General features: G+C 58.5%; 1 protein-coding gene and 1 long non-coding RNA gene across 6 annotated transcripts in view, besides 7 other annotated features; one reads left to right on the top strand and one right to left on the bottom strand.

The window, feature by feature from the left end:
- The window catches only part of LMX1B (LIM homeobox transcription factor 1 beta), an 87,105-nt gene extending 81,743 nt beyond the window's left edge, over window positions 1–5,362 (bottom strand). For all 3 annotated transcript variants that reach the window (NM_001174146.2, NM_001174147.2, NM_002316.4), the window contains exons 1-2: window positions 4,702–5,362; window positions 3,721–3,907 (exon numbers count right to left, since the gene is read on the bottom strand). In NM_001174146.2, coding sequence (NP_001167617.1) covers window positions 3,721–3,907; window positions 4,702–4,840 — 326 coding nt within the window. In that variant the 5' untranslated portion in view covers window positions 4,841–5,362. The remainder of the gene's footprint in view (window positions 1–3,720; window positions 3,908–4,701) is intronic.
- Window positions 2,889–3,468: an enhancer, noted in NCBI's record as "H3K4me1 hESC enhancer chr9:129378101-129378680 (GRCh37/hg19 assembly coordinates)". NCBI's record gives its function as "activates a minimal SCP1, AML or CMV promoter by ChIP-STARR-seq in naive H9 embryonic stem cells {active_cell/tissue: H9 hESC(naive)}" and the evidence as "EXISTENCE:reporter gene assay evidence [ECO:0000049][PMID:30033119]".
- Window positions 4,049–4,628: an enhancer, noted in NCBI's record as "H3K4me1 hESC enhancer chr9:129376941-129377520 (GRCh37/hg19 assembly coordinates)". NCBI's record gives its function as "activates a minimal SCP1, AML or CMV promoter by ChIP-STARR-seq in naive H9 embryonic stem cells {active_cell/tissue: H9 hESC(naive)}" and the evidence as "EXISTENCE:reporter gene assay evidence [ECO:0000049][PMID:30033119]".
- Window positions 4,629–5,210: an enhancer, noted in NCBI's record as "H3K4me1 hESC enhancer chr9:129376359-129376940 (GRCh37/hg19 assembly coordinates)". NCBI's record gives its function as "activates a minimal SCP1, AML or CMV promoter by ChIP-STARR-seq in naive H9 embryonic stem cells {active_cell/tissue: H9 hESC(naive)}" and the evidence as "EXISTENCE:reporter gene assay evidence [ECO:0000049][PMID:30033119]".
- Window positions 5,466–6,434: an enhancer, noted in NCBI's record as "H3K4me1 hESC enhancer chr9:129375135-129376103 (GRCh37/hg19 assembly coordinates)". NCBI's record gives its function as "activates a minimal SCP1, AML or CMV promoter by ChIP-STARR-seq in naive H9 embryonic stem cells {active_cell/tissue: H9 hESC(naive)}" and the evidence as "EXISTENCE:reporter gene assay evidence [ECO:0000049][PMID:30033119]".
- Window positions 5,491–11,177, top strand: LMX1B-DT (LMX1B divergent transcript). Of its 3 annotated transcripts, none has more exons than NR_184147.1 (3): window positions 5,491–5,841; window positions 10,076–10,146; window positions 10,829–11,177. It is a non-coding gene; the product is annotated as an LMX1B divergent transcript (long non-coding RNA). The 3 variants fall into 3 exon arrangements; NR_184146.1 differs by having other exon boundaries at window positions 10,782–11,177; NR_184148.1 differs by lacking the exon at window positions 10,076–10,146.
- Window positions 7,587–7,656: a silencer, noted in NCBI's record as "silent region_20289". NCBI's record gives its function as "represses an Ori minimal core promoter by ATAC-STARR-seq in GM12878 lymphoblastoid cells {active_cell/tissue: GM12878}" and the evidence as "EXISTENCE:reporter gene assay evidence [ECO:0000049][PMID:35858748]".
- Window positions 8,378–9,242: an enhancer, noted in NCBI's record as "H3K27ac-H3K4me1 hESC enhancer chr9:129372327-129373191 (GRCh37/hg19 assembly coordinates)". NCBI's record gives its function as "activates a minimal SCP1, AML or CMV promoter by ChIP-STARR-seq in primed H9 embryonic stem cells {active_cell/tissue: H9 hESC(primed)}" and the evidence as "EXISTENCE:reporter gene assay evidence [ECO:0000049][PMID:30033119]".
- Window positions 11,257–11,457: a silencer, noted in NCBI's record as "fragment chr9:129370112-129370312 (GRCh37/hg19 assembly coordinates)". NCBI's record gives its function as "represses an EF-1alpha promoter that drives an FKBP-Casp9 reporter gene in an ReSE screen in K562 erythroleukemia cells {active_cell/tissue: K562}" and the evidence as "EXISTENCE:reporter gene assay evidence [ECO:0000049][PMID:32094911]".

Here is a 15,530-nt window from a genome sequence, read left to right as displayed (position 1 = left end):
GTGGGGGGAGAGGTGAGCCTCCCAAGAAGGTCTTTCCCGGGGTAAACACTTCCAAGGAAAGGAATGCGCAGGGCAGAGCGGTTGGGCCACTGGAGCCACAGCCAGCTGGGGGAAATTTTTTAAAAACTCACCCCAGGACTCAAGAGGGCTTTCTGTGAAACTCAATCAAAGCCTCGATGCTCCCCTGCTGCCAACGTAGGCACATCCTACCTGGACAGGCGAGCCCAAAGGGCCCCCAGCGGGCCCGGCGGAGCCCTGAAGTCTGTGTCGCCGAGAGGCTCGGCCGCCCGGGCAGGCCCTGCGGGCGGAAGGACGCCGCGGCCCCGCCGCCGAGGTAGGAGCGCGGCCCGGGCCGGAACCCCGCGTCTCGCCGTGCACAAAGGCGCCCGCTTGCACCCCAGCGGGTCTCGGGTCGCCAAACCTGGGAGCTGTCTTACAAGCGATTAGACTCCATTTTGTGACAGATTTTTGGACTCTCCCACCGACCCTCCCCCCTTCCGGAGCCTCCTCCAGGAATTCTCCACCTCTTCAGGATAAAAACCCTTTCCAGACGAGCGACAGACGGCAAGAAAAGAGAGTTACATAATTCTATTCGGCCAAGCCGCCAAGATAAAAACATGGGAGGGGGGAAAGTGCCTTATTTTTCATTTGTTCTCCGGTGGAGGACGGTGAGAGGTGTTCTGATTTGGGGGAGGCTGCGTTTCCTCTCCGTTTCCTAACTGGTTTTCTGTCCGAAAAGGCTGCTTTTTCTTTTTTTTGAAGGAGCCCCCAAAACTCACACATGGGGAAAAAGGAGACTTTTGGAGTTAAGAGTGAAAATGCCCAAACTCCACGGCCGGCGCTCTGCTCTGCCCGCCAAGGATGTACAAGAGGATTTTTATCAAATTCGGCTCAATGTGCCCCAGTGTCAATTAATCACCCCCGTGGTGCGTAAGACAACTTGGCACTTCTGGGTGTCTGGGATCTTTGAGAACAAATCGAAAGGAAGAAGAGACATTTACTAAAAATGGCAACCTCTTTTTAAGGACGGAGCCCTGCAACTCAGCCAGGGGTGAGGACACATTTTTCAGAAGTTGTGTTTGGTGGGGGGATTGTTAATTTCTCAATACCGCTGACGCACAGACTCGACAATATCAAGAAGGCACGTTTCTGCGCCCGCTTGCTTGGATTCCTGTCTGAAAAGCATTTACGCACAGATGAAATAAATATGCATCTGCAATTCTCAAAGAAAAAAAGAAATGTGAATAAAAAAATTTTTATTGTGCAAAGAACATCCCTTTCCAGTGGCTGCTGCCTGCCTGGAGCGGCGCTCCATCTCCCTGTGAAACGACTCACTGGCTATTTGTCCTGATAACAATCACCCCACCCCCCACCCCCCACCCCCAGCACATCCTGCCGGCCGGCCTAACGCAGATACCTAATTGGCGTTATTGGAAAAAATAGAATGAGGGTGGAGGAATGAACTGTCCACAGCTAGAATAATGCACTCCCCACCCCAGGCTTCAGCCCCACAGGATCCAGACTGAGTGAGGTCTTCGGACCTGAGATTCGCCCTGTGCCAAAAATCATTCTCAACACACCGGACTGCACTGAAGAAGCTGGCTGTTAGGTGACTCTTTCCTTTTCTTTTTAAAACAAATATACTTTGGACAAAGCAGTAGCAAATGCTTAACGTTTAATTGTTTTGTAAGATGAGGGGGTGAGCCGCTCATCTCTAAGGCAACATCCAGCTGAAATTTCGTGACTTTACCATTCTGTGCCTGAAGAACCAGGGGTTATCCTTTCCTTTTTTTTTTTAAAGAGAAGCTCCGTAAATAATTATGGGGAGTGGGGGGAGGGCAGAATATGTACACGCGATTCATAAGTCTTTTCAATATATTAACAAGTTTTTTTCTTTTTTTTAAGCTGTGCAAATGATTTGGAGGCCGGTTTTAGTTTCCTGGGCCCCCTTCCCCCATGTGTTGTCGTAAAGGCTGGTGGCTGAGCTGGGTGTAAGTGGCACTGCCAGAGCTCGGGATCAGGCAAGCAGAGTGAGGCCAGGGGTGCAGGGCGTGGTGGGGAGGGGGCTAGAGGCTGGTGCACCCTACAGAGGGGCTCCTCTAGCCAGCCCAGAGCCCACAGCCACATCTACCCCAAACTATTTTCCCCATTCAATTTGTGCTGCTCTATGCTTGGGCTGTGACTGAACGGACTGGCGTCTCCCTCTCCCGGAACTAGAATCATATTAGTTCAGAGCACAGCACAAAGCCGACCTACGGCAGTGTGCCTAAATCTGGGGTGCTTCCTACTGAGAGGAAGGCCTCAGCTGCACTCTGGGACCAGCAAAACAGCTGAACCTCTGAATGGACTCCAATCCCTACCCAAAGATCCCTCAGCCGGAAGAAAGAGCTAGGTGCAAAAAGCAGCTCAGGCTCAGCCCCCAGACCACCAGGCACAGCCAGAGCCTTTTGGGGTAGAATCCGATGCCCTCTCTAGGGCTCTGGCCTGCACTGTTTCCAGGCCTCAGTTAAACAGTTGGGCTGCGCTGCTTTCCACTAGGCCCTGGACTGGGGACAATCCCTGGGCAGAACAGGTAGGTTGCACTCACCACGAGGCGCCGGCAGCCCAGCTTTTCCTTCCCTGGAGGCTTGGGCATACACAGCCCTCTCTGAGCACCAAACCACCTAAGCAGCCTACCCGCTCTGCAGCCTCATCCAGGACGGTTTTCTGGCATCACTAAAGTTTTCGCAGGCACCCGCTGTGTCTGCAACAGAGCTTTGGGGATCTCCACACCCCTCTTTCAGTTGTGGCTCCTCACTGCCTCCCTCCCAATTGCAGTGCCAGGCAGAAAACCCAGGAGGTCAAAAGAAAAAGCCTGCATGTCCTGTTGTCTGTCCCCAACCCCGGCCATACAAATCCAGTCTCAGCTAAAAACTAGTTAGCAAGAAGGGCTCAACCCACATCTCTGGCCTCAGCCCTGAGGTTTGGGTTATACCAGGGCAGAGCGGGCCATCTCCCTCCTCAATACACACTACCAGAAAGGAGGCCTTGTGGGAAGGGCTGACTCAGTCAGCTCCTCACTCCCATTGGGAGCCCCAAATTGTAACTTGCCACCTTTTGAGATCCTCTTCCTAGAGTGCTTCTCCAACCAAAGAAAACTGCAAGTGCAAAATTCCCGCATGGAACGGTTTGGGGAATATGGACATTCTTTTCTCTCCATCAGGGACTAAAAGTGCAGCAGTGAGCCTGGCAGAAAGGGGGCCTCCCTTGCCGCTCAGGCCGTTCAGTGTCCCAGCACTCCACCTCCTGGCTCCTGGCTCCAGGCTCCAGGAATCCCAAACCCCCACACACCAGGCCCTTGAAGCAGTCCGCCAGGCCTGGCTCCCTAAAACATTATTTTCCTTTGGAAATCAATTTTGGGTTCCCAATTCAGGCCTCCGTAGCGCCAGACCCTATATCCCAGGACCCAGGCACCAAATCCCTCGGCCGGCCCAGCGCAGGATTCCGGGACAACGGATGGCAACTGGGGGCCGTCCGGAGGCTCCCAGGACCCCATCAGTGCCCGCTGGGCTGGGCTGGTCCGCCCCAGCCCCAAGACGCGCAGCTCTCGGAACCCTTGGAGCTGCCCGGCCCAGCCGCGCACAGAGCCGGCGGCAGAGCGGGCGCGGGCCGGGCCCGGCAGGGGGCTGACCGGGCTCGAGTGCCGGGCGGTGGCGGGGAAGGAGGACGAGAAGCGCTTACTGTTGGTAGTCTTGTTTGCAGTACAGTTTCCGATCCCGGAAGTAGCAGCTGGTGGTGAGGGCTTGCTGACACGCCGCGCACTGCAAACACTCCTCGTGCCAGGACGACTCGTTGACTCGCATCAGGAAGCGGTCGGAGATGGGCCGCTGGCAGCCCTCGCAGACGGCGGGATGCGGGCAGTCGGAGCCTGTAGCGCACAGGGCGAAAGCCCGGCCGTCAGCGCCGCCCGGCCCAGCCCCGGCGTCCCGGTCGCACCGGGCCCACAGCCCTCGGCCCCGAGGGCTCGGGCCGCCCGGGATCACCGCCTGCCGCCTGCGCTCCCCGGACCGCCGCGCCAGGGGCCGGGCGGCCCCGGCTAGTCCGTCCCAGTCCTCGGGCTCCGGCGTGGAGAGGCCGCGGGCCTCGAGCCTTGGCTCGGCGCTGTGCTCTCCCCTTCTCCGGAGAATCCGCGCTCCGTGTTAAGACAAATGACAACGAGCACGGCGCAGGGTGGCCGGCTGGGACCAAGACAGGCGAGGTGAGGCTGGGGCGCTCGCTGGCTGACACGCCCCACGGTGGCGTTCGTGGTCTTCTATCCCCGATCTCCCCAAAATCTGTGGTTTGAGTGACCAGGGAGACGTTTTTCTCTTAGAATCTCCCCCACCCCAGGTGACCTTGCGCCTCTCCCAAGCTCGCCAAGGTGATTGCTAGGTCCTCCATCACCCCTGCCACCCGCCACCTACCACATCGGAGTGGCAGCTCTAGAACCTAAGCCTGGAAAGGATGGTGGGTGGCGACTGGAGCTGTCCTGTCCCCTCAGGACGCCTGCCGGAGGCGTACTTGCGGCCCTCTGGCGATCACTCCAGGAGTCCTGTCTCTGCCTCCTCCCCATGTCCTGCAAACCCATTTCCTTTATCCGTTGGCCCCAACGCCCGTGTCCACAGCCGGACGACGCCCCATCCCACGCCCGAGACCACTCGGGCGTTCCGACCCCGCACTCACCCAGCAGCACCCCCAGAGTGGCGGGCCCGGGGCGCAGGGCGTGCTCCTCCATCTTGATGCCGTCCAACATCTTGGCGCAGTCCGTCTGCCCGCGAGGGAAGCACCTCTCCAGCGACTCGGGACCTGTTGCTATATCCATGGGACGCGGGGCGCGCTGCGGACCCCGCCGGCCGGGCTGCTCGCCCGCCGGCCCGTCCACCCGCTCTCCGCCGCCGCGGCCCTGGAACCGGGGAGGCGCGGCCCCCGCAGGGCAGGGGTTGCGCCGGCCCCCGGCGATCGTGGAGCGGCGACGCGCTGGCCCCGGGCCCCGGCGTCGTGCGGGCGGGCCGGGGCGGCTGCAGCCCGCGCCGCGCTCTCCCGGACACTTGCAGCCACGCGCGCCGGCTCCTCTGTCACCTGCTTGTCAGTCCCGGAACCCGGCGGCGGCGGCTGCTGCAGACGGAGCCGCGGGGAGGAGGCGGCGGCGGCGGTGGCGGTGGCGGCGGCGGCAGGCGGGGGAGGGGGTGGGGGTGCAGGGGCGGCCCCGCGGGCCGCGGGGGGGGCGCGCGGCGCAGCGGGGTCCCGGGCGGGGCGCAGCGGGCCGCGGGGCTCCGGGCGCGCTCCCCGCGCTACTCCAGTGCCATGGTGCGCCCGCTGAGCCGCCGGGTTTAGAGCTGGGGCTGGCGGCGGAGGGATACGGGCCGCCTCACCTCCCGAAACTTCCTGACATTTGAACCCCGCGGCCGGTATCCCTGCGCCGGGATGCGCCGCCGGCTCCACGTCAAATAGTGCCGTCCCGCCCCCCCGCGCGCCCCGGGGCTCCGCGCCCCTGGCCCGCGCCCCGCGCCGCGCCTGGCCCCGAGCTCAGGCCCCGGCTCCCCGGCCCGGCCGCCCCGCGGGCCCCTCGCAGAAGTTTTGATCGTCTTCGAAACAAATCCCTCTGCTCCACCCCCTTGAAAAATTGATTTGGGAGTTGGGGAGCGAAGGCTTTCTTTTTTCTCCTCTGCCTTCTTTATTATTAATATTTTGTAAAGCTCCAGCGCTACGAGGAGTGGCCCCGAGCGAGGCCAGACTGCGCGGACGGCAGGGAGCGCGGCGGCTCCGCCAGGGGACGGCGCCGGCCGGGAGTGGCCGCTTGGGAACCCCCGACTGTCGGCCGAGGTAGGTCGCGGGGGCTGAGTCGGAGTCCCCCGGGCGGCGGCGCCTGCTCGGGGCCGCTTGGTCCGCGGAGAGGGCCGGCTCCCAGGAACGAAGGACGGGGGCGGGCAGAAGGCGAGGACGGCTGGCCCTGGACTCGTGCAAGGGGGGCCCAGGCCCAGGAACGGGGAGTGAGCCTGGAGTGTGGGTGAGGGGTCTGGGAAAGCTCCGGGCCTGGCAGAGATTGGGCGGGGGACTGAGCCGATGGGAGGTTGGGGCCCCGGGATCGAGAATGGGGGACACTGGGACGACAAGGAAGGTCAGGCCTGGGTTCAGGCGACCGAGAGTTTAGAGGACAACTAAGGCTGGAAAAGGGGTCCCCGGGCAGGGGCAGGAGCAGTGGGCAAGACCCGGGCCTCCTAGGGTTTGCAGTGAGGGGCGCTAGGAGGGAGTGGTGGCCCCAGGGTAGCGGCTCTGAAGAAATTAGGTTGGCTGCCAAGATCGGGGTCCTTTGGCGGGTCGGGTGCCCGGCCAGGGGTCGCTGGGACGCGCGGATCAAGGACAGTGCTCTAGCCAGCCTGGGCAAAGTGGACCTCGGCAACGGGACGCGAAAGCTGGCGAGATGGAGCTGCCGACTTCCGCGCCAGCCGGGCCTGGCACCCGCGTCCGGTGCGAGAGGCCACAGCGTCGGACCGGCTGTCTGCGGCCCGTGGTCCCCACCGACGCGCGGCTCACCGGGGAGCAGGGGGGCGGTTGCGGCCCGGGGTAGCGGCGGGCTGACCCCCCGCGATCCGCTGCGGGGCGGCCCCGGCCCCTCCCGGAGCGAGGCAGCGGCGCGGAGCCGGGCGGGGGCGGAGGGCATGGGGGGCGGGTCCCCTGACCTCGCTGGAGGCGAAAGGGCGGATCGGATTTGGAACCTGCGGGAGGCTTGGTCAGAAGTGGCCCCCTGCGCCGCGGGGCCCCGCGGAGGGGCCCGGCTTTGTGGAGGATTAGAGGCTCCCGCCCTACCCTACCTGCGTGTGTGTCGGTGGGTATCTGTGTGTGTCTGTGCGTGTCGGGCCCCCGCCTCTGCGGCTCTTGCCTCCGTGTGCTCCTTGGCTCTGCACACACGGTATGTGTGTCCCTGCAACCTTCCAGACTCCCAGGGGTGAATCTGTGGATCTGTGTCTGAGTCCCCTGCACCCGTGTGTATGTGAATGTGTGGGTCCTTCGTGCCTGTGTCTGGGGTGTGTGTCCGCATCATTTCATGCGGGGGCCTAAGTCTTTGTGCGTGTCTCAGCCTCTGTGTTGTGTCTGCGATCCTTTTCTGTATGGGTGTCTCTGTCAGCTTTGCGTATCTGTGCTTATCTCCGGGGTTCTGAATGCTTCTGTGTGCTCGCGTGTCTCCTAGCGTGTGTGTGTGTGTGTGTGTTTGTGTGTGGTGGGGGGCTTTGTGCCTTCGTGTATTTCTAGGCGCCTTTGTGTGGCTAGGTCGGGGAGAGTGGACAGTCAATGTGGAGTTTCTCTCCCACATCTCGGTCCCCTCTTTGCTTGACCTGGAAACCCCAGGCCTGGACCCGCGAAGTTGGGCTGGGCCTGAGCCGCCTTCTCCGGGCATCTGGGGCGGGGGCGCGGCTGCTGCAGGGAGAAGCCGGGCGGGCAAGGCTTCGGCGCACAGAGCCAGAGTCCCGAGGCGCGGAGCGCGGCTCGGGGCCGGCGGGCGGACCAGGCACTTTCTGCCCTCTGCTGGTCGCGGTCCATCCCTGCAACCGGGGCTGGGCGACTGCCTGCAGGCGAGAGTCCTCGTTCCAGGCCCAGACCCTCTCCCTCTCCTTCAGGGTGCACATGGTAATACTCTCTCGTCACAGGCCCTGCACCCCCAACTCCTGGCGCAAGGCTCCATCCCCTCCCCACCTTCCCTGTGCCTGGCCTCTCCTACCCTACAGCTCTCCTTTCCCCCTCCTTGGCTGAATGAGGGCCCCTGCGATCCAGTCTCCCAGGCTTCTCTAACTCGGGTTGGCGTCCAGTGCCGATCTGGGGCCGCTGGCTGTGCCCAGAGGCGCATTCCCCGGACCACTCGAAGGCCTGGTCTCAAGGCAGGAGGACTTGTGGGAAGTACCCCCTCCGTGCCGCGTCTGGTCTGTCCGGGTGCGCATGCATTCTCAGCGCCTCTTCCGCGCTCCTGCCAGTCATATCCCACGCCACCAAGGCGGATATAGGGTGGTCTGCCGCCATGCGGCCCGCGCCCAGATAGGGGCGCTGGCTCGGTGGACGCCAGAGCCTGGCTGCCTTCTCTGGTCTGGGGTGGGGCTGCTGAGTCCACACCCCTTGGGCCCCTCTGCATGCCTTCCCCGCTGTCCATTCATTCCCCCTACACACACACACACACACACACACACACACACACACACACACACACACACACACACACACACCCTCCCTATAGGCCCCGTTCCTTGCCCTTTGTCCTCACTCCTCGTGTCCCGTGCTCCCAGCTGAGTTGGCCGGTCTCGGGTCCTTCGCACGCAGACGCGCAGGGGTCCCAGATCTCTCCAGCACAATCGGGGCTCCCGCGCCTCTCCACCGCTTCCCTTGCCGAAGAAGCGAAGAAGCGGCCGACTGGACGGCACAGCAGGGGCCGAGGCCCAGAGCCGGCTCCTGCCCGCAGGCGGCGAACGGCACCTTGCTCCGCCAGGCCCCTGCGGGTGTGATCCGTGACCCGCAGATTCTCCCGGGCGCCTCTGGCCCATGACGCGGGGGCTGCTCGCTCCACGCAGGCGGCTTCGGGATGCTCTCCCGCTCAGATTTCAGCGGCAGAAACAGCCTCGGATTCTCTCTACCTGGGGGAAAGACTGAGTCGGGGGCTCGGAATCACTGGAAGAAGCGAGAATGGAAAGGGAGGCTCTGGAGCGGGGGTCCCGGCTCCTTCCAGTCTGCGGACGCCCCAGCTCCATTGAGCCCCGCCCTAGTCCCCCCGCTCCTCTTCTTAGGGCCTTGCACCCTCTCCTCTGCGCTACCCGCCTCCCTCGAGCACGGCTCTATGAGCTGCCCTCCCCCACCCCACCCAGCCCTGTCCATCCCGCTCCGGGCTGTCTGGATTGTTTTGTGCTTCTGACCAGAGCCAGAGCCACACTGCCCCCTCCCAGTTTACCATTCCAGCTGGAGGCACGGATCTGGGGCAGCGCAGGGTGCAGTCCTGGCCGGGTTCGGAGGAGTGGGAAGGCAAGGACCAGGAGCTGCGAGTGTCTCTATTCCACTCTGCCCGGAGAACCAGGGCTGCAGAGAGCCTGGGCCGTCCCACGCTGTCCCGGCGCCATCAGCCCTGCCAAGCCTCAGATCCTTGACAGGCGGCCAGATTGGGGGGACCAGAGCCGCCCAAGCAGTGGGCCAGGTTGGGGGCTGATATTCCTGGGAGGTGGCCCCGGGTCTAGGGTCCTGGGAGAACCACACTGACTCCGGAAGTGGAGCGGGAACACCCAGAGACTGAGTGCTGGAAACTTTCCAGCCAGCAGTGACCATGTTATGCTTTTTGGACCCCAGCGGGGCTGGACCCCAGGGCACATGGGCCAAAGGGTCAGGCCCTTCTCAGCTAGAGATGGCCGTGTGTGATCGTCACAGAGTAACACAGCCACCTTGCCGCAGAGCGGTGCAAATGTCTGTGGTCTTGCTGTGCCGGTGGGAGACCTCACAGCGACCTTGAACCCAGGTGGAGGCCCACACACAGGAGTAAAGTGATGGCGCCCAGCTGGGGTCCTTTGAATCAGGGCTGGGAACTGGTTCTCTCTCCCATTGGGGTTTTCCAGCCTGATGGGAGAGGGGCTGCAGGGAGACAGGATTTGTGGCAGAATTTGCTGGTGAGGCAGAGCTGGGGCTCTGAGGCTGCATGCAAGTGTGTGTGTCTGTGTGCAGTGGGGAGACAGCCAGCCCCAGCAAAGCCCCTAAGTCCTTCCTGTAGCTTCCCCTTCAGTGGGTAGGGGCTCTGGCCACAGACCCATGACTTTCCAGCACAAGGTCTGGGTCTTTAGTCATGGGATTCCTCCACATTGGGTCAGGAGACGGTGCTCCCTTAGAGCCCAGGCTGCTGTCAGCTCTCGGGACTGGAGCTCTGAGGGAGACGGTGCCCTGGCGGGGTGGCCCAGTGCTGAGGTCTCGCAGTGGCTAGGAGTGGTCAAGAGCAGATCTTGGGGAGCCACCCAGATCTGGTTCAGGATCTGGCCATGGGACCTCAGGAAGGTCCTGCCCTACTCTCTGCACCTCAGCTTCCTCATTTGTCCCACAGGGTTGTCGAGAGGCTGAAACATAAGTGCTCACCACAACACCCAGCACCTACCAGGCCTCTATACATATTTGGTAAATAATTGGATGGACACTTTGGGAGGGTGAGGCTGGTGGATCACGAGGTCAGGAGTTCAAGACCAACCTGGCCAACATGGTGAAACCCCATCTTTACTAAAAATACAAAAATTAGCTGGGCATGGTGGCACGTGTCTGTAATCCTAGCTATTTGGGAAGCTGAGGCAGGAGAACCACTTGAATCCGGGAGGTGGAGGTTGCAGTGAACCGAAATTGCACCACTGCACTCCAGCCTGGGTGACAGAGCAAGACTCCATCTCAAGTAGTCATAATAATTGGATGGAAGAGGGGCCATGCTACCAAGACTTGGGGAGAACACAGCTCCCTGCTTCTCCTTCAACCAGGGCTTGAGGGCAAACAGACCCCCTGGGCTCACCTGCGTACCTTCCTCCAGGGCAGGCGAAGCTTAGCTCCAGGAAGGTGTGAGCTGGGCGCAGGAGACCTCCAGGCAGTGCCTAGAGGCCCGGCACAGCCTTTGCCACTGGCCCTGCTCTAGAGCCTGGGCCTGCAAGTAGCTGCTCAGAGCTGGACCCTGGCGGGGACACAGAATTAGGGGCGTTAGCCCATTACATCAAAAGCAACCACGTGGGATTCTCAAGATGTCACATATTTTAAAATTTATTTTCTTCAAGAATCTTTGGCTTTCTTGCCAAATGGATGGGCTGGATTATTTCTGCAGCCTGTCTGGAACCGGGAGCTTCCCCAGCTGAGGACCACAGTGAGAGCAGAGAAGACCCAGGATCGTATTTGAAACCATAAAAGCCACATGAAGACACTAAGAATAACTTGCAGAAAGACATTTTCTATGAATTGAACACAGAGTCCCAAAACCCAGAAAGTTCCCTGGTCTCTATCTCATGGGCCCGTGTCTGGGGAAGGGGGCCCGATGTGAGGCTGGGGCCAGTGCCCATCCTATTTGATCTTTATCTTAAATCCACTTCAAAATGCTGTGGCTTGGTGGATTGAAGGTTCGCCCCTTCCTGTAATTATTTGGTGTCTGGTAAAGTTTTTATGAGTGTTTGTGCAAATACATGCATTTGATGTGCATTTGTTTTGGTTAGTACCGCTTTATGTAGGAGGTGTGTGCATCTCCTGTTGGCCCTCAGAAAAGAAAAGAAAAATAAAACCGAGACTTCTGGACCAGGCAGAGGGGTGGAGCTGGGGCAATTCCACTGCCAACCACAACCCCTGTGACGTCAGGGGCTCCTGGGCACCAGTGACGATACAAGTTGGTAGCCTTTGGGTTTACCTTGTGAGGGTGATCAGGGCTGGCAGTCGGCTGGTGAAATCCAGATTCTAGGAAGCCTTTTTTTGAAACATAACTGGATCTGCCTCTTTTGCTTTTTTTTTTTTTTTTTTTTAAGACACAGTCTCGCTCAGTCAACCAGGCTGGAGTGCAGTGGTGCGATCTCAGCTCACTGCAACCTCCTCCTCCCAGGTTCAAGTGATTCTCTCACCTCAGACTCCCAGGTAGCTGGGATTATAGGCACCTGCCACCATGCTTGGCTAATTTTTTTGTGTATTTGGTAGAGACGGGGTTTCACCATATTGGTCAGGCTGGTCTCGAACACCTGACCCCAGGTGATCCGCCTATCTCTGCCTCCCAAAGTGCTGGGATTACAGGTGTGAGCCACCACACCCGGCCTGAGTCTGCCTTTTGATTACTGTCCTCTGGGCATTCTTGGTAAAGTAAAATGTATAATAAGTAAGGGTGAGTTTTTGGGGGGACTTTATCATGTAAGTGACAGAACTTGTCTGTTTCTCTAGAATGTGAGCTCAGCAGATCTGGCTAAGAGGAGCTGTGGCTGTCCAGCCTTCTCTGGATAAGGCAGCAGGGTGGGGCAGGATGGGTGTTCCTCCTGTGTGGCTGAGGAAGCACCTGCCCCCTAAGGGTGTCAGGGGCCAAGAGCACCCATGCCTGCCTCACGTCCCCAGCCCAGAGTCAGAAGGCAGCCTGCAGGTGTGTTCAGCTTGGCCCCTATAGGTAGTCTTTTCTCCCAGCACTGCAGCCTTGATTTATTTGCTTTAAAATTATTCTAGCATTTTTATTGAAGTATAATACACAGTAGAAAAGTGCACGAAGCATAGGATTACAAAGAGGACATGCCCATGCCACCAACACCCAGATTAAGAGAGAGAATGTTGCTGGCTTCCTGAAATCCTTCATGTTCCCTCCCAGGCACCACCCACCTCCCTCAAAGGAAACCACTATCTTGGTTTTGCCTGTTGTGAATTTTCTATAAATGGAATCATCCTATATACTCCTTACCATACTTTAATCATGAGATTTTGCGTGAAAATTTTGCGTGGATTTTTCTCCTGAATAATCAGAGGTCTGATCACTTTGGACCCTCATTCCAGCAGCATGCTGACAAGCTGGACCTAAATTTGTCCTTCCCACCTCCATCCTAGGCAGGACACCCACTGGATTCCGTTTGCCAGGGAGCATTTGTCTTGGTCACTCCAGCTGTCAACCTTTGGCTCCTCCCCTGGTCTTCAGCCCATCCCCAAAAGGAATCACTGTATGTACACTGGGGAACTGCATCCAGAACCTTCTCTCACCCCACCCCTCCATCTGCATCCAGTACCCTTTGAGGCAGAGATCATGAGACCTTAAAGAGGTGAGGAAATTGGCACCTCAGAGAGGTGAAGTCACTTGCCCAGGGCCACACAGTGTTGTAAAGGTCAGATCCTGGATTCAAACCCTACTGGCCTGACTCCAAACCCCAGGCTCTTGTCATCTCCCCACAAGGCTCCCTCGGGCATCCAGACCCAGGCGTGAACAGTCCCCTCCTGCCTCCTTCCAGTGGGGAGGAAGCTGGACTTTTTCCAAAGGAAACGCTGGGAAACACAAAGCCCCAAACAGAAAACAGGGCAGGGATGGTTCCCAGGCCCTGGCTGCCTAACCTTGGGTGATGCAAGGCTAGTCTGGTCTAGGCTGGTCTGGACTGGTGCAGCCTCCCCAGGTGCGTCAAGGGAAGGTGGCATCATGCCATGCACTGAGTGTCCACCACGGGCCGGGCACTTCATCTGTCATTCCCCAATACTCACAATGTACCTGTGAGGTTTGTATTATTATTTAGCCCCATTTTACAGATGAGAAAACTGAGGTTCAGAGAGGTTGAATGTCCTGCCTTAGACCACAGCGTCTGAGTGGCTGAACTGGGTTTTGAATGCGTTGAGAATGGCTTCCATGCCGTGACACTGTGCTACCCTGACACTGTGCTACCCTGGCCCTGTTCTCCTTGGCCTACCTCTCTTCTCGAGCGACCTCCACTCTCCTGTGGTCGTGAAGCTGTGACCAGGTGCTTGGTGATTTTGCAAGTGGCTCCTGCAACTAAACCTCAAGCCAGGCCAGCTAGACTCCAGGCCTGAGGTGGATGGCCTCAGTCTGCTTATCTGGAAAGTGGGGATAATATTACTGCTTTCTTTTATTTATTTATCTACCTATCTATTTATTTAGATTTTTGAGACAGAGTCTCACTCTGTTATCCAGGCTGGAGTGCAGTGGCATGATCTCAGCTCATTGCAAATTCCACCTCCCAGATTCAAGTGATTCTCCTGCCTCAGCCTCCCCATTAGCCGAGATTACAGGCACCTGCCACCGTGCCCGGCTAATTTTTGTATTTTCAGTAGAGACGGGGTTTCACCATGTTGGCCAGGCTGGTCTTGAACTCCTGACCTCAGGTGATCCATCCAGCTTGGCCTCCCAAAGTGCTGGGATTACAGGTGTGAGCCACCATGCCCGGCCTACTTTCTATTATTATCTGGAAGTTTAACAAAGTCTGTAGACTTCTGAATCTGGAAGAATTAGCAGTCGCCTGTTAGAGTGGGAAGAGGGCTCACGGATGTGCAGGGGTCCTGAAGCAGGAAAGAACTTGATCCGCTGGAGGCCCATGTGGCTGGGTCAGAGCAGGCTCTGGTGTGGCTGCAGGTATGGACAGTGGCCTGACCACAGGGCATTGTAGGTCACAATGAGGCGTGTGGACCTGATCCTCAGGGGGAACCTGAGTAGGAGCCACGGAAGAGTTGAAACAGGGCAGTGTCCTGGTCAAGTTTGGTTTTTAGGAAGATCTCTCAGGCCGCGGTGAGGGCGAGACCATAGTCTGGAGGCCAAGGGATGAGGCCTTTGGGTTTCAATATCCCTTTTGTATGGAATGAGGTTGGGCGGTCCACAGACCAGACCTTATCCTCCAATTTCCCATAGAGGCTGTGTTTCCAGATTCAGGGTTTCATGTTACACAGAGTTATTCTTTCTGGAATGTGTCCCCCAAGCAACCCCGCTGGACCCTCTGTGGAAGGAGGGGCTCTTCTGAATGCAAGATTCGCATGTATGCAAAAAAGCAAACATGCCAGCCCTGCGCCTTGCTAGTGTCTGTCCCTGAAACAGAACCAGCAACCAGCGGACAAAGCAGTGCCCAGGAGTTGGGCCAGGCTGCAAACATCATCAACAACAGTAATAGTAATAATAATAACCTTTATTAATAAAGCCTCTGACCTAGAATGATCTCATGGAATCCTAGAGTAAGGCTGGGACGTAGCTGTCATTACAATTGTATGAATAAAGAGACTTGTGGGTAGGGGGGCCTTGTCCAAGGTCGCTGAGTGGCAGAACCAGGCGGGTGGCCGCAGCCCTGACACTGTCACCTGTGGGCTGGGCAGCCTCAGAGGGGTGGTGAGTCAGGCATATTGTTGAGCTCTGTGGGATCTAGACAGCCCTGCAACTGTCCCCAGTGTGCAGAAAAGCCAGAAAATTCCATCTTGGCGTCCTGACCTCCACCTCCGCTCCAGCTCACACAATCTGCCCAGTTGAGTTATTCTCCCTGGAAGAGCTTGGTAATTTGGGCTTTTCCAAACTCAGGAAAAGCCTCCAAGTCTAGAATCCTCCCCGTGGCCTCTCCCTGGCCTCATCTCTTCCTCCCTCCCCTTGGCTCTCCATGCTACGCTGAGTGCCGAGCACATTGGCCTGATTTCTGTTTCTCAAGCAGCTCATACTCTGTCCTGCCTCCAGGCTTTGAATGGGTCGTTCCCTTCACCTGGAAAGCCCTCTTCACTCCCTCTTCCTAGCTTATTCCTGTTCATCCTTTCTGTCTCAATGTAAAGGTCACCTCCTCCTGGAAGCCTTCCTTTACCTCCCAGGCTAGCTTAGAGCTACCTCTTACATGTTCTCAGCAACCCGTGATTGTGATTCTCCTTCATGGTGAGATGGGGTTGCATGTCTTTTTCATTCCTCATTCTACGCCCTCGCAGTCTCAGAGAGAAACCCAGGAACAATGAGAAAGGAGTGATGGGGAGGTTGCTCTTCAGTGTCAAGGCGGTGGAAGGGGATCTATGAGATGGAGAAGGGACATATACCCTTGAATATTACATAGTCCACGTTG

Source organism: Homo sapiens, chromosome 9 (genome assembly GCF_000001405.40).
Source record: "Homo sapiens chromosome 9, GRCh38.p14 Primary Assembly".
Taxonomy (NCBI): Eukaryota; Metazoa; Chordata; class Mammalia; order Primates; family Hominidae; genus Homo; species Homo sapiens.
Note: the sequence above shows the minus strand (reverse complement) of the source record. Positions and strands in the feature narration are given on the sequence as shown.